Source organism: Homo sapiens, chromosome 12 (genome assembly GCF_000001405.40).
Source record: "Homo sapiens chromosome 12, GRCh38.p14 Primary Assembly".
NCBI lineage: Eukaryota > Metazoa > Chordata > Mammalia > Primates > Hominidae > Homo > Homo sapiens.
In genome coordinates, this window is record NC_000012.12 from 128,889,635 (window position 1) to 128,910,538 (window position 20,904).

At 42.7% G+C, this 20,904-nt stretch overlaps 1 protein-coding gene across 12 annotated transcripts in view; it reads left to right on the forward strand.

Annotated features, from left to right (window-relative positions):
• The window catches only part of GLT1D1 (glycosyltransferase 1 domain containing 1), a 131,491-nt gene that overhangs the window by 36,157 nt on the left and 74,430 nt on the right, over positions 1-20,904 (forward strand). For 5 of the 12 annotated variants that reach the window (NR_159493.1, NM_001366886.1, XM_047428372.1 and 2 more), the window contains one exon: positions 9,602-9,653. The exons of 3 other annotated variants lie outside the window; for them this stretch is intronic. Coding sequence is in view for 7 of the 9 variants with exons in the window: in NM_001366886.1 (NP_001353815.1) it covers positions 9,602-9,653 (52 nt within the window). In the remaining 2 variants the exon portion in view is untranslated. Of the gene's footprint in view, positions 1-9,601; positions 9,654-17,272; positions 17,321-20,904 lie in introns of all 12 variants that reach the window. 4 more of the 12 variants (XR_001748588.2, NM_001366889.1, XM_011537957.3 and 1 more) reach the window with 1 other exon arrangement.

Sequence of the window (20,904 nt, forward strand, 5' to 3'; positions counted from 1 at the left end):
AAAGGAGGTTCATCGGAGGCTGTTGTTCTGGACCAGCCCCCGCACTGTCCCCCAGCGGACTAGCCCAAGACAGAAAGGAGTCACTTGTGCTGAGCGCTATGTAATCAAACTGAACTTTGAAATGGGTCAGCCTTCTTTCTCTCTTCTCTTCTCTTTTCCTGACAGAGTCTCATTCCGTTGCCCAGGCTGGAGCGCAATGGCGCGATCTTGGCTCACTGCAACCTCAGCCTCCCGGGTTCAGGCGATTCTTGTGCCTCAGGCTCCCGAGTAACTGGGATTATGGGCGCCTGCCACCACAGTCGGCTAATTTTTGTATTTTTAGTAGAGACGGGGTTTCACCATTTTGCCAGGCTGGTCTCAAACTCCTGGCCTCAAGCGATCCACCTGCCTCGGCCTCCCAAAGTGCTGGGATTACGGGCATGAGATACCGTGCCCAGCCTGAAATGGGCCAGTTTTCTAAAAGGCAAGAAATTCCAGGCAACTTCAGTCAGCAGAATAGGGAAGTCTTCTCTGCTTTAACCCTGTAGGGAAAGTAACTCTGAAATGCCCCATCTGCTTTTTGTTTCCTGTGTCTGCTTTCTTCAGCCCTTGTCTGTCTGTAAAACACGCCTTCTCTGCGCAGCTCATCAGAACACTCATTCTGTTTTGTAGAATGAGGTGCTGCCCAATTCTAGAATTGCTGATAAAGGCCCATTATAATCTTTGAACTCAATTTGTTGTCATTGTGTCTTTTGACAAGGCATACTTAGAAAATTATCATATTTGTATAGCAATTTAAAGTGGATTAAAAGCCTTGATTAAAAAAATCACTCCCATTTCTTTGTCTAACGAATAACAATAATAAGAATTAAAATAATGATAAAATCAGGCCGGGCACGGTGACTCAGGCCTGTAATCCCAGCACTTTGGGAGGCCTGAGGCAGGTGGATCACTTGAGGTCAGGAGTTCGAGACCAGCCTGGCCAACACGGAGAAACCCCATCTCTATTAAAAATACAAAAATTAGCTGGGTGTGGTGGTGGGTACCTGTAATTCCGGCTACTTGGGAGGCTGAGGCAGAAGAATCACTTTAACCCAGGAGGTGGCCAGGTGCGGTGGCTCACACATGTAATCCCAGCATTTTGGGAGACTGAGGCAGGTGGATCACCTGAGGTCAGGAGTTCGAGACCAGCCTGGACAACAGGGTGAAACTCCATCTCTACTAAAAATACAAAAATTAGCCGGACATGGTGGCCTGTGCCTGTAGTTCCAGCTACTTGAGAGGCTGAGGCAGAAGACTTGCTTGAACTCGGGAGGCAGAGGTTGCAGTGAGCTGAGATCGTGCCATTGCACTCCAGCCTGGGAGACAGAGCATGACTCCATCTCAAAAACAAACAACAGCAACAACAACAAAAGAACCCGGGAGGTGTTGGTTGCAGTAAGCAAGATGTTGCCATTGCACTCTAGCCTGGGTGACAGAGCGACACTGTCTCAAAAAAAAAAAAATTTAATTAATTAAAAAAATAAAAAATTAAATAAAATAATGATAAAAGCAATATGAATCTTCCATGATCATATGAAAATTGTGAAAAAAAGCGGAAATTAAATCAAAAGAACTACCTATACATGCATACCCAAAACAAAGAACTTTTCTGATCAGTCATGAGGTGCTCAGTGGGCTTCCTCGGGGTTTGGCTGGACAGTCAAGGGGGTTCTGTGCAGTTTGTCCTCCCACATGTTCACTGGCTGCTGGTGTTAGAAGAAAGCTTCACCTGTGTCTAGAATAACCCTGAAACCACAGTTTACAGTTGGTCCAACAAGTACTGCCTAACTATCCCTTCGACCCTTTTAAATCTTTGAATCATTGTAGAGAACAAAACAAAGCAAAACTGGTAATTGATTTTATCCCAATAAATCACCAGCCATTAATTTTCTGTGGCTCACCTCATGGCTGGGAAGCTCTGGCCAGGGAATTTGGGACACTTCAAGTCTTTATGTAGCTGGATCACCCTATTCCATACAGGGGACAGCATTCAAAGTTCTGTCGGGAGCCTCAGATTCCTTGTTTGGTAATGTAGGTGTCAGTCTCGCTTCTGAAAACCAGGGTTACTGAGAGGTATCACTGCATTTAGGACCCTAGTCCTTCCTGAGGACCCCGATCGTATGTTGTGGCAATGCAAATGTGGACCCAAAAAACCTGAGACAGGTCTCAGTTACTATTTAGAAAGTTTATTTTGCCAACGTTGAAGACACGCACTCATGACCCAGCCTCAAGAGGTCCTGATGACACGTGCCCAAGGTGGTCAGGCACAGGTTGGTTTTCTACATCTTAGGGAGATGTGAGACATCAATCAATATATGTAGGAGGTACACTGGTTCGGTCTGGAAAGGCGGGACAACTGGAAGCGAGGCAGGAAGACTCAAAGCAGGGAGGGGTTTTCCAGGTCACTGGTAGGTGACAGACAAAAGGTCGCATTCTTTTGCATTTCTGATTGGCCTTTCCCAAGGAAGCAATCAGATATACATTTATCTCAGTGAGCAGAGGGGTGACTTTGAATAGAATGGGAGGGAGGTTTGCCCTTAGCAGTTCCCAGCTTGACTTTTCCCTTTAGCTTTGTGATTTGGGGGCCCAAGATATTTTCCTTTCACACCACCTTATCATAATAGAGAGCACACGTGTGAGTGTGCATGTGTGTGCGTGTGTGTGTTACAATAAAAAAAGACATTAAAACACGTTGGGGTTACCTTGAAAGGGGATCTTTTATTACAGGTTTTCTTATTGCTGTTGTTCTTTCACTCTGCAAATTCATTACCTTTAGATTCCTGTAGTTGGTAATGCACTGCCTTACGGAAGAAAAACAATTCTGTTTACTAGAAACAACATTGAATGAATCCATCTTACAGTATTATTATTAGTATTATTTATTTCATTGTTATTAAAGCAAACACGGATTTCTATTTTGGGGGGTTATTGATCGAGGTTAGTGGGCAGGAAAGCTGCATGGATCAGATTCTTTGTCCAGTACAACATAGCACACGTTTCTGTAAAAGAAAGTATTGAACTTGTCTAGCTTTATAATGAGTATTTCATTTTTAATCAAATGTTTTTAAATAGTTATATTTTTCCTATAGGGTCTATTTTTGAAGTTTTTTTAGTATTTAAATTTTTTTTCTATATTATATAGTATTCAAACTTACCTTAGCTTCAGCTTTTTGGCTTATAAATATTATAATGTAATAAGTACTTGATAATTACATTATCAATATCAAAACTAAATGAAGAGTATGTGAAACCTATGGAAATTATTTGGTGAAGGATCATCCAGGTACATATTAGAAGAAAATATTCTTGGCCAGGCATGATGGCTAATGCCTGTAATCCCAGCACTTTGAGAGGCCGAAGCGGGTGGATCACTGAGGTCAGGAGTTTGAGACCAGCCTGGCCAACATGGGGAAACTCCGTCTTCACTAAAAATACAAAAATTAGCTGGGCATGGTGACACATGCCTGTAATCCCAGCTACTCAGGAGGCTGAGGCAAGAGAATCGCTTGAACCTGAGAGGCAGAGGTTGAAGTGAGCTGAGATCTCGCCATTGCACTGCAGCCTGGGTGAAAGAGGGAGACTCTGTCTCAAAAACAAAAGAAAGAAAAGAAAAAATTATCGTCAAGCAAATGAGCAAAAGAGAGTTTGTATAAAATGAAACACCTCAAAAATAGCCTCATAAATAGGAAATCTATAGCACACGATAGGTTAAACGAGGTGAATTTGCTGTTTTGTAGGCATAAAATGGCTGAATATTGGTAGTTTCATAAGTTTTAAGCTATAGATATTTAAGCCCAAAGATTTTTTTTACAAAAAAAATCACATGTGAAAGTGAGTAAATCTATTTCAAAATGGCAATGTTCAACTAAAAATGCAAAAATGGTAGCTTTATATTTTTCATAAGAAATGTGGTTTTTTAATTTAATTGAATTTTATTGTTTTTTTTTGGACACAGAGTCTTACTCTGTCGCCCAGGCTGGAGTGCAGTGGTGCAGTCTGAGCTCACTGCAACTTCCACCTCCTGGGTTCAGGCGATTCACCTGCCTCAGCCTCGTCAGTAGCTGGGACTACAGGGGTGCACCACCACGCCTGGCTAATTTTTGTATTTTTAGTGAAGATGGAGTTTCTCTGTGTTGGCCAGGCTGGTCTCGAACTCCTGACCACAGTGATCCACCTTCCTCGGCCTCCCAAAGTGTTGGGATTACAGGTGTGAGCCATCACGCCCCACTAATTGTTCAATTCTTAAGTTTCTCAGTTTTGAAGTTTCCCAGCAAAGGAAGGTTTACACACTCTCCTGAAGGGCCCATTGTCAGGCAATTGTTATTTAGCTACTTTTCTTTCTTTTTTATCTTATTTTCACAGGATAAAGTCTATTCCCCCAGATACAGTTTCCTTGCACCTCTTGTTAGTTTTCAGAGCAAATGGAGAGCTTCTCATAACTGAGGCCAGCAGAACAACCCATGCTGGGCTCGAGCCTCCTTCCGCGTCAGCACTGTATGGTGCTTGGATTATGAAAGTGGGCCTTGGTGGGAAGTCCAGCGTGAGATCCTCTCCGTCCGTCTTTCCTTACTTTTCCCTTCAGTAGGGGACCTGTGATGGAATGTGCCTCGACTGGTGACAGGGTTTTAGAGGAGGCAGAAAGGAAAGCTCGGGGCAGGCACAGACAGGGGAAGTGGGGCCTTCTGGAGGAAGAATCTGCCATTTTTGGGTCCTGCTGCAGGGAAGGAATCATCCTTTCCTGGTTCTCATCTGCAGTAATTATTCCTGTGGTGTTTGCCTGATGGTGATTTTTCCATTTGCACTGCGTCTTGTTTATTAACTGGAATTCTACCTTACGGAAGACTTTCCTCTTTGATCCCATTTACTTATTTGATTATTTATTTGTTATTCAGTATGGACTCGTGGGGGCCGGGCATGGTGGCTCATGGCTGTAATCCCAGCACTTTGGGAGGCTGAGTTGGGTGGATCACTTGAGGCCAGGAGTTCGAGACCAGCCTGGCCAACATGGTGAACCCTCATCTCTACTAAAAATACAGAAAAAAAAATTAGCCGAGCATGGTGGTGCGTGCCTGTAATCCTAGCTACTCAGGAGGCTGAGGCAGGAGAGTTGCTTGAACCCAGGAGGCGGAGGTTACAGTGAGCTGAGACTGTGCCACTGCACTCCAACCTGGGTAACAGAGCAAGACTCCATCTCAAAATAAATAATAAATAAATATATTAAAAATTATATATATATATATAACATGGACTCATAGATATTTATTTTATTTCCCTTTACAGATTATCTGTTACTATTTTTGTTTATTCGGTTGCTCAAATTGCCCCAGATTTGCCCACAGGAGATGCTTTGAGCTGATGCCTGTGTTCTTTTGACATGCTCTCATCATTCATCGTTTTCTGAGCACTTTTCTACTTTCTGGCATCGTAAAATGTCCCTGATTCATCTCCTGTCTACCTTGTCCTACTTCTGGAAATGGCTATTTCTCAAAGGAGTCCTGGTTCCTTTATAATTTTTTTTTGTCCTTTTAGAGAATATTATTTAGAAACTAAGATCTGTGCTTATTGCTTACTCAGTGTCCTTGCTTGTAAGCCCTCTTAGAGCTTGGAAATGTATGTATGTATATATGCACATATACAACTATATGTATTTTTATTTCATCACTAGAAGTATGGTTCTCATTATTTGACATTGGTATGAAGCTTAGGGTTTGTATTAGGCATCCGAATGGAGGTATGAAGTAGGTAGAAGTCTGGGCAAGTTAGGGGAGGGGTCGGGAGTTTGTTGGTCAATATACAGAAGCTATTTTTTTTTTTTTTTTGAGGCAGAGTCTCGCTCTGTCACCCAGGCTGGAGTGCAATGGCACAATCTTGACTCATCGCAACCTCCGCCTCCTGGGTTCAAGCTATTCTCCTGCCTCAGCCTTCTGAGTAGCTGGGATTACAGGCATGCACCACCACGCCGGGCTAATTTTGTAATTTTAGTAGAGAACGGGGTTTCTCAATGTTGGTCAGGCTGGTCTCTCAAACTCCTAACCTCAGGTGATCCTCCCCCCTCGGCCTCCCAAAGTGCTGAGATTACAGGCGTGAACCACCGCTTCCGGCCTTACAGATGCTATTGAAACCTGGAAACTGGTGAGATCACCAAAGGAGTAAGTGCAGATAGAGAAGAGAAGCCCAAGAACTGAGTCTTGGAGCAGCCCATTTTTGAGAAATCAGAGAGAGAAATTAGTGAGACTGAGATTGAGTGGCCAGTTCGATGAAACGGAATGGTATGGTGGAAACCAATGAAGAAGCATTTCAAGGAGGAAGGAGAGAGCGTATGTGCCTGTTGCTATTGATAGGTTAAGTAAGATGAAGACTGAGGACCGGACCATTCAGCTTACCAACATGGAGGTCCTTAGTGACCTTGAGCACAGTTTCAATGGTGCAGTCAGGGGAGCTGCCTGGAGTGGTTTAAATGAGAAGAGAGGCATTGGAGGTGTTGAGTCAAGGTAACACCAGGGCTTTTTTTGTCAAGGAGAAAAGAGAAAAAGGACAATAATTGAAGCAGGGACTGTGGGATTAAGGGAGTAGTTTTTATAATGAGTAGAGGAGAAAATAATGATGTGGGAGAAAGATAGGAGGATATATATTATCTACAGGAAGTCTTGAAAGATTGTAAGTCCTGACTTTATAAAATATTTTGTTAAGAATTTTCTTTCTAACTAAAAAAAATGGCTGTCCCAATGCAATGTAGAAATTTTGAAAAGTACTGAAGAAGCCAGGGAAAAGCAAATTACCAATTTTTTTTTTGTACTTCATGCGTGCTTTAACCATGACTAGCTTTTTGGTAGGTGATCTTTTAATTACTTACATTTGTATGTCTGTGACTATATTTTCATTGTTATTATTTTTGAAAATTTGGGCTGAATGACACATACTTTTTTTTTTTTTTTTTTTTTTTGAGACAGAGTCTTGCTCTGTTGCCAGGCTGGAGTGCAGTGGCATGATCTTGGCTCACTGCAACCTCCGCCTCCCAGGTTCAAGCGGTCCCCCTGCCTCAGCGTACCGAGTAGCTGGGATTACAGGCATGCACCACCATGCCCAGCTACAGTTTTGATAATTTTAAGGTGCCAAACATGGTTTTAATGGCTGCATAGAATTCTATCATAAATTCTGTAAATGATTCTTTGAGATTGGGCATTTATATCTTTATCATAAACAACACCACAGGGAAAAATCTGTTTCTGTCTTTGTGTACTTGTCTGATTGTGTCTTTGGGTTGAATTCATAGAGGTAGAATTGCAAGGTCTAACGCTACGAACATGTGAATATATTGATGCAGTTTCTCAAATTTCTCTTCAGAAAGAATATTTGCATTTTAATTCACCAAGTGGGTGTATGTTTTCATTTTTCTCACCTTTGTCAACATTGGGCATTTTTATTTTTAAAACTGCCAATCTTATATGTGATGCAATTCTTTCCTATTGTTCCAATTAGATTTATTTTGTTATTAGAGAAATTTCACTTTTCCTCACATTTTATGGTCCCTTATATTTGCTCTCACGTGAACATCCCATTTTTCCCATCCCTTTTTGCCCCTTGGGATGTTTGGCTTCCTTGTTAATTTTGAAGAGCTCCTGAGTAAGGATATTATTCCTCTTTTCTCCATGTCAATTGCACATGTTTCTTCCAAATTGTTATTTTTGTTTTAATTTGTGGTATTTCAGTAGTTTTTAAATTTTAATATAATCAAAGCTTTTTTATCTTTAGAATTAATTTCATAGCTTTTTTTCTTTCTCCTTTTCATACCCTGCCTGTGGTATCCAATAATGTCATAGCTTTTTATGCTCAGAAAACCTTTCCCAGGCTGAGGCCAGCTGCTTGTTCTCTTATATCATTCCAGACTTCTCTTGTAGTCTTACCTTTTTTTACTTAGCTCCTGAACCATCTTTTGAGATATATGATATAAGGTAGGAAACTAACTTTTTCCATGTATTTAACCACTTCTCTAACCTTATGCTATGTCAAATTCTTTTTTTTTCTTTTTTTGAGACAGAGTCTCGCTCTGTTGCCCAGGCTGGAGTGCAGTGGCACGATCTCGGCTCACTGCAAGCTCCGCCTCCCGGGTTCACACCATCCTCCTGCCTCAGCCTCCCGAGTAGCTGGGACTACAGGCGCCCGCCACCATGCCCGGCTAATTTTTTGTATTTTTAGTAGAGACGGGGTTTCACGGTGTTAGCCAGGTGGTCTCGATCTCCTGACCTTGTGATCCGCCCGCCTTGGACTCCCAAAGTGCTGGGATTACAGGTGTGAGCCACCAGGCCTGGCCTATGCTATGTCAAATTCTTAAATGTATTTGGGTCTGTTTCTGGCCTTGTATTTGGTTTTGATCTTTCTATCTTTTTTTCACTGCCAACACTGTTTTAATTGTTATATTTTTAATATGTTTTGATATCTGTTAATACACATCTCATCTTTGAATTCTTCTTCTTCTTCCTCTTCCTCTTCTTCCTCCTCCTCCTCCTCCTTCTTCTTCCTTTTCCTTCTTCCTTTCTTCTTTCTTCTTCCTCTGTCACCCAAGCTGGAGTGCAGTGGCACAATCATGGCTCACTGCAGCCTTGACATCCCAGGCTCAAGCGATCCTCCTGCCTCAGCCTCCTGAGTAGCTGGGACTACAAGTGTGCTCAACTATGCCCAGCTGATTACAAAAATGTTTCCTGTAGAGATGGGGGTCTCCCTATGTTGCCCAGGCTGGTCTTGAATGCCTGGGCTCAAGTGATCTTCCTGCCTCAGCCTCCCAAAGTATTGGGATTACAAGTGTGAGCCACTGTGCCTGGCCTGAATTCTTTATCAAAATTTTCTGATTGTTTGTCACCCAATTATATGTATAGGTAAACTTTAAAATTATTTTGTCAAATTTCAATAGAAATCCACTTCTGGATTTTATTTGAATTATTGATTTTGTCACGTAATTTGGTAAAAATGGACGTTTTGATAGTATTGGAGCTTCCCATCTAAGAATGTGCTCCACATTTCCATGAAAAAGTATCTCTTAATATTCCTGCACTTCATGGCAAACATAATGTTAATAAATAGATTACCTTGTTTTCTTAGTTTTGAGATCCCTTGTGCATTTCCTAAAGAAGCAATTGAAAGGAGGGAGATGATAACAGTGAGCACCCATGTGCATTCAGTAAATTGTGATTGTGTCCCCATAGTCTTCCCTTGGCAGAGCTAGTGGAGTGGACAGGCTGCCCTTGAATGGTCAGGGTGGATTAACCCAGCAAGTTCCTTGCTTCTCTCCTGCATCTTCATTTCTTGCTTTTGATTTTATCCCTGCCTCTCTGAACTTGCGTGGAAGGAAGAGAAAAAATAGGAGTTTTGAGCTTCGTTTGGTTTACTTCTTGCATATAAAACTTTTTTTTGATGTGAGTTGAGATTAAACCTAATGGCCAATGACCACAAGTAATAAAGATTGATTGCATTTTAAATTTAGTGTCTCACGTTGTCTCTCATAATTTGTTCCAAAGAGCTGTTTCATAGTTCTTTTAATTGAATTCTGGCCTAATTGTTTCTATTATTTTTGTTCATTTACTAGATTTGCTGTCGCTTTCACAGAGTCAATGAAGGAAATGGCACAAGCGCAGTGGGTATGTGTTTATCTGGTGTTGTTATTTTGGTTGTGCTGATGAAATTGCAGAATTCGAGAACCGAAAGGCAGCCTTACTGAGCTGACAGTGTTCCCATGGACGGTGCCTGTTGCGGCCACAATAGTGTATTATGTTTCCCATAGATTGATTTTGTATGTGTAGATGCACCTAAAACGTCCCTGATATTTTTTGATGTTGTTATTGAATGACAAAAGTAGCCCAGTAATGGTTGTATGTTGTTGTTGTTGTTTTGTTGCTGTTTTTTTTTTTTTTTTTTTTTGAGACGGAGTCTTGCTCTGTCACCTAGGCTGGAGTGCAATGGCGTGATCTCAGCTCACTGCAACTTCCACCTCCCGGGTTCAAGCAATTCTCCTGCCTGAGCCTCCTGAGTAGCTGGGATTTCAGGTGCACACCACCATACCCAGCTAATTTTTTTGTATTTTTAGTAGAGATGGGATTTCACCACGTTGGTCAGGCTGGTCTCGAACTACTGGCCTCAAATGATCTGCCCGCCTCAGCATCCCAAAGTGCCGGGATTACAGGCATGAGCCACCGAACCTGGCCCTGTTTTCTTTCTATGTTCTCAGATCGGGTGATTTATCAGCTGCGCTATAAATGTTGCAGCAACCTTGTATACATGAGAGTAACAATCTCTTAGGTGACAGAGGTAGTTTCCTGGGTTGGACCGTTTATTAGAAGAGCTTTAAACAGTCAAGAGTTTGTAGATCCACAAGTTAGTTCATTTATTGACTTTGTATTCATGATGACTTAGAGGGCTGGTGTATGAGCTGGTGGGAACTTAACTGAATTCCCAGTAAGGAGCTATGTGAACGCACCATAGAGCTGGTGCCTGCAAAACTAAAGAAAAAAACCAAAGGTCAGTTTCCCTTTGGTGAGTGAGGCTGCTGTCTCTGGCGGTGGGAACTGCATTGAGCCTGCTCCACCAGCGTTCATCCGCTGTGCACAATGTGCATGCCCTGATCATTTGCAGGCGTTATTCCTGTTGGTTGGGAGGATCAAGGAACAGGGCTTATGCCCTGATCATTTGTAGGCTCTGCCCATTCTTTATGGAATTGCAATTTGCAAAATGGTGGTACTTGAAAACTGCTGCACTGGGACAAGGGCAGAACCCAGTCATCTGTGGTCTCTTCCGAAAGCTCGGGATGCTAGACATATGTGAATGTGAAGTTGCACACGCCCTGACGGCCCATAGTCTTACTCTTTATATCAGACTTTTCCCAGGCAGAGCATGGAGGTTGTATTTCCTAGTGCAGTTTAATGACTTGTCAATCTCAGTATTAGAAAACCCAACAGGCATCCTGGTTTCCAGTTTTATTGTAATACCAAACTTTTTTTTTTTTTTTTTGAGACAGAGTCTCACTCTGTCACCCAGGCTAGAGTGTAATGGTGCTATCTCAGCTCACTGCAACCTCTGCCCCCCAGGTTCAAGCGATTCTGTTGCCTCAGCCTCCTGAGTAGCTGGGACGACAGGCATGTGCCACCACACCCGGCTAATTTTTGTATTTTTAGTAGGGACGTGGTTTCACCATGTTGGCCAGGCTGGTCTCAAATGCCTGACCTCAAGTGATCCACCCACCTCAGCCTCCCAAAGTGTTGGGGCTACAGGTGTGAGCCACTGCACCTGGCCTACCTGTTGGACTATCTATCTGCCTTCTTAAGGTAGTTTTCAAACCAGTGGTTACCAAAATGGGGTCCCTGGACCTCTGAGATTCCCTGGGACTCTTTCAGGGCCTCCGCCAAGTCAAGCTTTTTCTAAATAATAATGCAAAGCCTTTTCTTTTGGCTTTTCTCATGGTTTAAAATGCAGTGATGAGTAAAATGCAGCTGCCTTAATACTAACGAAGGCAGTGGCCCCATCTGTGCTAATATTCGCTGATTAGTCACCACCACCCACTTAAGCCAGTTTCACTTAAAAATGTCCCTGATGAAGAAATACAAATTACTAGCTTTTCAAATATTAACTTTTGAATACATGTTGTTATTTTTTTTTTAGTAGAGATGGGGTTTTGCCTTGTTGGCCAGGCCAGTCTTGAACTCCTGACCTCAAGTGATCTGCCCTCCTCAGCCTCCCAAAGTGCTAGGATTACAGGCGTGAGCCACCGCGCCTGACCTTTTCTCTCTCTCTCTCTCATTTTTTTTTTTTTCTGAGATGGAGTCTCGCTCTGTCGCCCAGGCTGGAGTGCAGTGGCGCGATCTCGGCTCACTGCAACCTCTGCCTCCCGGTTTCAAGCTATTCTCCTACCTCAGCCTCCCAAGTAGCTGGGACTACAGGCGCCCACCACAACGCCCTGCTAATTTTTGCATTTTTAGTAGAAACGGGGTTTCACCATGTTGGCCAGGCTGGTCTCGAACTCCCGACCTTGTGATCCACCCACCTTGGCCTCCCAAAGTGATGGGATTACAGGCGTGAGCCACCATGCCTGGTCCCTCTTTTTTTTTATTATTATTATTTTTTTTGAGACGGGCTCTCATTCTGTTACCCAGGCTAGATTGCAGTGGTGCAATCATGGCTCACTGGAGCCTCGAACACCTAGGCTCAAGCCATCCTCCCACCTCGGCCTCCCAAAGTGCTGGGATGACAGGCATGAGCCACTATGTGTGGCCAAATTTGAATTTTCAAGTAAAATTAGAATTTTGGAAAGCCAGCATGAGGTTGTCAGTTTCCCAATATCTGAAGGCTTTCCTGATGAAATTGGTGGCTCTACTAACAAATCTGAGTTTTTTGGATGTTGTATAATGAAACGTTTAAACATTTGAAAGATCTTCATGACTCAGTGAACCAGTAGGTTTTCAATGATCAATATGTGACCTATAGAATCAAGTACAGATGAAAGATCAGTTCATAGTACCAGGTAGACCAATGGACTTTAATATAACTGAGTATGAAAAGTTCGGCCAGGTGCAGTGGCTCATGCCTGTAATCCCAGCACTTTGGGAGGCCGAGGTGGGCGGATCACCTGAGGTCAGGAGTTCGAGACCAGCCTGACCAACATGGAGAAACCCCGACTCTACTAAAAATACAAAATTAGCCAGGCATGGTGGTGCGTGCCTGTAATCCCAGCTACTTTCGGGAGGCTGAGGCAGGAGAATCGCTTGAACCCAGAAGGTGGAGGTTGCAGTGAGCCGAGATTGTACCATTGCACTCCAGCCAGGGCAAGAAGAGCAAAAATTCTGTCTCAAAAAAAAAAAAAAGAAAGAAAAAAAGAAAAGTTCCCTGATGCAGCTAAACTTTAAGAAATTGCCACTTGCTGAGTTTGGGTGCAGTGTCCAAGAACAATGCCTACAGTGATCGGAAAGGCCATTAAAATACTCTTTCTTTTCCTACTACCTGTCTGCAAGAGGCAGGATTTTCTTTATAGACCTCAACCAAAACAACATATTGCAACAAATTAAATGAAACAGCAAACGTGGGAACCCAACTGTGTTGGTTAAGACAGACATTAAAGAAATAATTGCCAGGCGCAGTGGCTCAACCTGTAATCCCAGCACTTTGGGAGGCTGAGGCGGGCAGATCACCTGAGGTCAAGAGTTCAAGACCAGCCTGGCCAACATGACGAAACCCTGTCTCTACTGAAAATGCAAAAAATTAGCCGGGCATGGTGGTGTGCACCTGTAGTCCCAGCTACTCAGGAGGCTGAGGCAAGAGAATTGCTTGAACCCAGGAGGCCGAGGTTGAAGTGAACAGAGATGGTGCCACTGCAAGACTCCGTCTCAAAAAAAAAAAAAAAGAAAGAAATATTTTACCTGTGGAAGCATGCTCCTTTTCCATGAATTCATTGCCCTTTTCTCTAACTTGTCAGCCTTCAATATCATCCTCCACCATAAATCCTTCCTTGACCCTCCAGAATTGGCATAGATGAGTTCCCTTCCTCTGTCAGTTACCTTTTGCTGCTTAACAAACCAGTTGCCTTAAACACGCAGGGTGGCCTCACTTCCATGCCTGGACCTTAGCTGGGATGGTGGGGACCCCTGAGGCCTGTCTCCATGGGGTCTGTCATCCTGTTTTAGGCTCGGCAGGAAGAGAGAACGGGCCTCAACTCACAAGCACATTCCAGGCCTCTGCCTGTGATAAGCTTGCCTCCTTCCCATTGACCAAAGCAACTCAGCGGGTGGAGATACGGTCCCCACCTCATAATGAGAGGATCTTTAATGCTGCCTTACAAGGGCACGGATGCAGGGAGGGGGAGAATTGATGGCCTCTGTAACCATCTGCCACACTTCATGCTTGTCTCTAATGAGTATAACATGTTTTACTTTCTTCCCCGTGCTTCTCAAGTGGTGAGCTTCTTGAGAAAGGGACATGAGGTAGTCACTCGTGCATCCCTGGAGAATAGTATATACTGTCTCAGGCCCGGTGAATATCCTTTAAATTGATTGATTAGGAACGACTCCTCCTTTAGAACCTTTTGGTTTTTTTAAATATTTTTATTTTTATTTTTTGAGATGGAATCTTGCTCTGTCACCCAAGGTGAAGTACAGTGGCGCAATCTCAGCTCACTGCAACCTCTGCCTCCCAAGTTCAAGCTATTCTCCTGCCTCAGCCTCCTGAGTAGCTGGGATTACAGGCTCCCGCCATCATGCCCAGCTAATTTTTGTATTTTTGGTAGAGACGGGGTTTCACCATGTTGGCCAGGCTGGTCTCGAACTCCTGACCATGTGATCCGCCCGCCTTGGCCTCCCAAAGTGCTGGGATACAGGCATGAGCCACTGTGCCCGGCCAGAACTTTTAATTAAAGAAATTTTCAGGCATGTGTAGAAGTAGCAAGAATAGTAGAGTGAGCCCTTTATGTGCCCATGACCCAGTTTATTGTTCCTCAATTCTTATTTACTCTACTTCCTCCTGAATACACACACACACCTACACTCACACACACACATACAATGTTTTCGAGAATAATTTCAAAAATTACCAATATCATGCCATTTCACCTATAATTATGTGCCATTTTACCTGCAAATGTACTTTGATAAAGACTTTTTTTAAAAAACATAAACACAGTGGTACAGGTAACTTTTGTATTGGCAGACCACAGTCAGTAAGGAAGAAATAAAGAGGGGTTTAAGAGCGTTCATACAACCTAACATTTTTATCAATACAGTTTGGAAGAAATCAAGGAATAGAATTTGGAGGGGGAAAAAGAGAGGAACTGAATCATTTGGTTCTGGATGTATTGACTTAGTGACAAATATTGGACTCGGGTAAATATCCAGAATAGAGCTGAGAATGTAGGACTGTCCTCAGAGGAGGGCACAGTTGGGGACACAGCCATGTGAGTCACTGGTGTCCAGGTGATGGTTAAAGCATGAAAACAGTCTTTTTTTTTTTTTTTTTTTTTTTTTTTTGAGACAGAGTCTTTCTCTGTTGCCCATGCTGGAGTGCAGTAGTGCGATCTCGGCTCACCGCAACCTGCGGCTCCCGGATTCAAGCGATTCTCCTGCCTCAGCTTCCCAAGTAGCTGGGATTACAGATGCCCACCACCACACCCAACTAATTTCTGTATTTTGAATAGAGATGGGGTTTCACCATGTTGGCCAGGCTGGTCTTGAACTCCCAACCTCAGGCGATCCACCTGCCTCGGCCTCCCAAAGTGCTGGGATTACAGGTGACTGCCACTATGCCTGGCTAATTTTTGTATTTTTAATAGAGACTGGGTTTCACCATGTTGGCCAGGCTGGTCTCGAACTCCTGACCTCAAGTGATCTGCCCACCTCATCCTCCCAAAAGGCTGGGATTACAGGCATGAGCCACCGCGCCTGGCCCATTTCCCACCCTAAACACTCAGCTGTCAGGTATTACACCACTTACGCCGTTTCCCAGAAGCTAAGGGTGCAGGTCATGCCTCTGTTTGGTCAAGGCCGAATTTCCTAGTACACACCCACTATATGTCATCAATATGAAAGTTACTAGTGACATCATATTTTACCTTTTTGTGTGTGAAGTCTTTGAAATCCTGTGTGTATTTTACACTCACAGCACATCTTAATTCAAACAGGGCCTTAGACGTGCCCTGGATCAGCCACGTGGCCACGTGTGGCGAGGGCTGTTGTGTGCTCAGGGCAGCTCTGTTTCAGGATTTCTGAAACTTACTCACACGATATCTGATCCTGGAGGACACATGAACGGACATGTGCCCAGTGAGGGTTAGTTTGTAACCGGTGAGTGAACTTCAGCCCCCAGGGCTGCTCTTGTGGAAATGTTGTCTTGGGAGCTGGGTTTATGATCGCCTACCTATCTCTGGCTGACCTTCACAAGTTAGTTTGATTGGATTTCAGTAAAGACGGTTTTATCTCTTTTAATTTGAAATGCCTTTGTTTATGCTCAAGTCATTATTTTTTAGTGTTGTTTATATCAGCCTTAATTTGACATTGTACCTACTTTGTAAAATATACAATCCTAGTGGGCTCCTCACCAGGTCAGCATGCTAGGCTGTTAATGCCTAGCACGCGTGATCAACGTAGGTTATGTTTTGGGATGGCATTACTATGTTGGTTTGTGATATTATAATATATCTTTTAAGTGTTTTTTTTTTTTCTTTATTAAAGGAGTCTCACTCTGTTGCCCAGGCTGGATGGAGTGCAGTGGCGTGATCGTGGCTCACTGCAGCCTCAAACTCGTGGGCTCAGACGATCCTCTCCCCCTCAGCCTCCTGGGTAGCTGGGACTACAGGCCCATGCCACCACACCTGGCTGAAATTTTGACTTTTTTTTTTTTGTGGAGATAAGGTCTCACTGCGTTGCCCAGGCTACTCTTGAACTCCTGGCCTCAAGTAGTTCTCCTGCATCAACCTCCTAAAATGCTAGAATTACAGGCGTGAGCGTCTGTGCTGGCCAGTTTCTGATATTATAATATTGATTTGACATTTTCAAGAATTTGATTCATTTCACATTTCTGATCCTGAAATATATGTTGTGGGAAGTTTGAAAATATTTTATGTAGGATTTTGATTTCTTGCTACAATATGTAATAGATATTCAGGATGCAAACTTGAGTACTTCTAGTTCTAGTCCACGTTTAGAGCGCTTTGTCTAAATTCATCAGAATTTCACCAGAAAATGTAAAAATTTCACCAAGAAGAAAAAAACACCCACGAACAAATTAAATGTGTATCTTAATGGACGCTTCTACCAGGAGAAGCAATGGTTATGGTTTAATATGTCTCCATTGGGCTCAAAACCCCTCATGCCTGTTTTCACACTCTTTTCCTAATAAGCATTCTTCTAAGAGGACATTATCTAAACTCAAATATTTATTTATGAGCTATATTTAAAAAATCCTGTTTGAGTAAATATTGCTTGAAGCAGTTATCAAATTCAAACAAAAAAAAGCACAGTGTCATTCATAATGGCCCATCAATATGCTTTGCAAAGGCTAAGTTTTCAGGTGTTATCTTTAGAGTGAGGTTTTTCTTTTTTTTTTTTTCTTTTTTTTTTCTGGAAACTTTGAGTCACCCCCTTCTGGGGCCTAATTTATCTACTTTGCCTTGGCACTTGTGAAAGAAAAGTAACTTCTTCAAGTTGCTGTGTTAGGCAAAACCTAAAGTGTAATTTTACTTTGTGTACATTTACTCATCAAAATTCTTTTGGAAATTAAAATATAGAAAGCAAGACAGATCTCATTGGCTGTCACAAGTGCAGTTCCTGTACAGGTGAGCTCCACAAGTCAGTGCAGATGTTAGCGCTGGCCTAATCGGAATGAGCTGCGTGTCTCCTTATCCCTAAAGTCTGCAGTAGAAGCATGCTGTCTTTTGAGCTACTTATTACTTCTCCCTCTTCCTGCATGGCCCCATTGCTTTATGTCTGATTACCTCGGAAAGTCATCTTGGCAGCAGCTGAAACTACACAGACCATACCTTTTATTAGAGTTCCCACCCTCCTGGAAACATAAAAATGCATTGAACACGTGGGTTTCACCTCTAGACTACCTCTTTTCTGTGCCAACCCTCTCACCTCTGCAGGAGAAGCTCCAGGGATTGATCATGTCCCAGGAAGCTAATCTTTTTTTTTTTTTTTTTTTTGAGACCGAGTCTCGCTTTGTTGCCCAGGCTGGAGCACAGTGGCGTGATCTCGGCTCACTGCAAGCTCTGCCTCCCGGGTTCACGCCATTCTCCTGCCTCAGCCTCCCGAGTAGCTGGGACTACAGGTGCCCGCCACCACACCCAGCTAATTTTTTGTATATTTAGTAGAGACGAGGTTTCACCGTGTTAGCCAGGCTGGTCTTGATCTCCTGATCTTGTGATCCACCCGCCTCAGCCTCCCAAAGTGCTGGGATTACAGGCGTAAGCCACCGTGCCCCGCCACTAATCATTTTTAATAGCTTCTATGAAGGTGAGCCCTCATTGGAGATTTCTGGATGGAACTGCAAATGTTCTTTATGTCTGTGTGGGTTTTTTTGTTTGTTTGTTTGCCCCCATGTGAGATCCCTGGGAATTGAGAAGTTTGAAAGGAACTCAGAAGTATGAAAAACGCATCCATTCCAGAGCATAGATCTTGAGTTTACTTTTTCCATGACCCGGGGCTCAAATGTGTGGTACCATCACAAGTATTGTTTGTAATTCATTAAATTGCCCAGGCAGAGCATGGTAGGGGAATCTTCTGAATAAAATGAACAATCATTCTGAGTTGTTTACTCCATACATTTAATTGTTTAAAAAAACAAAAATCTTCTCTGGAAATTTCCTGTTGATGTTCCTGTTTCTTGAGTCGCCCCAGTAGATGGGGTGCCACACTCTCATCCTTTTATTTTGTGAAGGGTCACGGGTTGTTCTTTTAAATTTATTTAACTATTTATTTTTTAGACGAGTCTTGTTCTGTCCCCCACGCTGGAGTGCAGTGGTGCGATCTCAGCTCACTGCAGCCTCCGAAAGTGCTGGGATTACAGGTGTGAGTCCCCGCGCCTGGCCGGATTGTGTTAACTTCATCTCTATTGCTGCTCCATATTGGACCTGACAGAATCCTACCCCAGTCTAGTTTCAACATTTCTTTCTCATCTCACCCACGTATTTTCTTTTACTTTCCTTCTTTCTTTCTTTCTTTCTTTCCCTTTCTTTCTTTCTTTTCTTTCTTTCTTTTCTTTCTCTTTCTTTCTCTCTCTCTCTCTTTCTTTCTTTCTTTTTCTTTCCTTTCTTCCTTTCTTTCCTTCTTTCCCTCTTTCCTTCTTTCTTTCCTTCTTTCTTTTTTTCTTTCCTTCTTTCCTTCCATCCTTCCTTCTTTCTTTCTTTCCTTCTTTCTTCTTCTTTTTTTTTTAATTGTTCTCCTACCCAAGGCGGAAGACTGGCAGCTCAGCTAGGTGCTGGGCTCTGTATGGTGGCTGGCGTTTCTGTGGGACACGGAGGGCAGCAGGAAGGAAAATAAACACGACAGGCCGGGCGCGGTGGCTCACGCCTGTAATCCCAGCACTTTGGGAGGCCGAGGAGGGCGGATCACGAGGTCAGGAGATCGAGACCATCTTGGCTAACACGGTGAAACCCCGTCTCTACTAAAAATACAAAAAATTAGCCGGGCGTGGTGACGGGCGCCTGTAGTCCCAGCTACTCGGGAGGCTGAGGCAGGAGAATGGCGTGAACCCGGGAGGCAGAGCTTGCAGTGAGCCGAGATCGCGCCCCTGCACTCCAGCCTGGGCGACAGAGCGAGACTCCGTCTCAAAAATAAATAAATAAATAAATAAATAAAAAATAAACACGATAGGTCCAAGCGTCATTCCACTGGGTTTTGATATTGGCTTCGCAGCTAGTCTCCCGTTTCTGACCTGTGCCATCCATCTATAATGAAGCAGGACACCAACGCTTCTTCCTCATATTCCAGAATCCCAACTCTTGAAAACCTCTTTCTTTGTTGTTAAAATGTTGTGAAGTGTTAGTGTCTGGACATTTTTTTTCTATGAAAAATGATTAAAGTACTTCCTAGTAAAAAAAGAAAAGAAAAGAAAAGAAAAATTGTTCTTTGTGTGGTTGGTTCCATTGCAGGAGTTCAGTGGCAAGGCTGAATCTCCCCACACCTCGCCTTCCTTTTGAATATTACTTTCTTTTTTTTTATGCACGATAACAGATTTCTAAGGGAAAAGAGTAGAGGGAGGAAAAAAGACACTGTGACCTTGAAAAGTGCCCAATTTCTTTGTGTTTTGTGGCATAAATATATTTTGCAACTTTATATGTATGGGCCATCATTTCTTTTAAGCAGTTTGTAATCGTTTTACAAGTAGTTTTTACAAAGCCACAGTCTGAAGTTGTATTATAATTTCAGAACAAAAACTATTATTTTTGTCATCTGTAGAGCATAAAATTGTGCCTGTATTTCAAAAATAATCTATTGTGGTTTCCATTTGCAGAAAGTTTAATTTTAGAAGGTGAATCTCTGGCTTATGTTTAGTCAAAGAATGGGAAGTTCTTTGGTTGATGTTATTTCCAGCATGAAAAGGTATCAGTTAGTCCTTGGGTCTGTTAGAAGTCCATCTATTTATAGGTATCTATCCAATAGGATCCTGGCTTTTTATATCCAGTAATGAGCCAAAGAGGTAACAGTTGCTGATAGACACACCTCAGTGTTTGCCATTGTGTGCACTGATGAGCTAATCTGCAAGGCAGGCCGTACACAAGGACTTTGACTCATGTTATTTCAAGGCAGAGAGAACAATAATAAATATTGAGCAAAGAAAGCTAATTTGTATTTGTTACACTTTCATATAGAAAATGTTTTTCAAAATCAATATAAGCCAATTGGCTTTTGCCAGATTTCTTTTATTGCAATGATTACAAATAACTCAGGTCCAGACTTCCTTTATACTGCAACTTTATTTCCTCTGTTTGCCTGGATGAGATCTGAAAATACCATTTATGCAACGCTTTTCAAATGATTAGAAAAATGATGCTCAGAGATGTGGGAAGATCAGCAGATAAGTCCAGAAATCTTCACTTTCAGTCAATTCCTTCTGCTGACAGAGCTGAGATACAAGTTTAACTCTTTTTTTTTTTTTTTTTTTTTGGTGGAAAAAGGAGTTTCTTGACAGGAACATTTTGAGTTTATGTATTGCTAATTGCAGAGCCTATTTCCAATGAAAATAGTGACAAAAACTATAAACTCTATGTTGCCTCACCTTATATTTATCTAGGATTATGCTGAATCTGTTATTGTCAAACACTTATATTAAGTTATATTAAGTTAAATGCCATGGTGTTCTATTGTGAGTGCTTTACCATCCATCTTCAAGATGTTGCCAGGCGAGTGTTTTGGACAC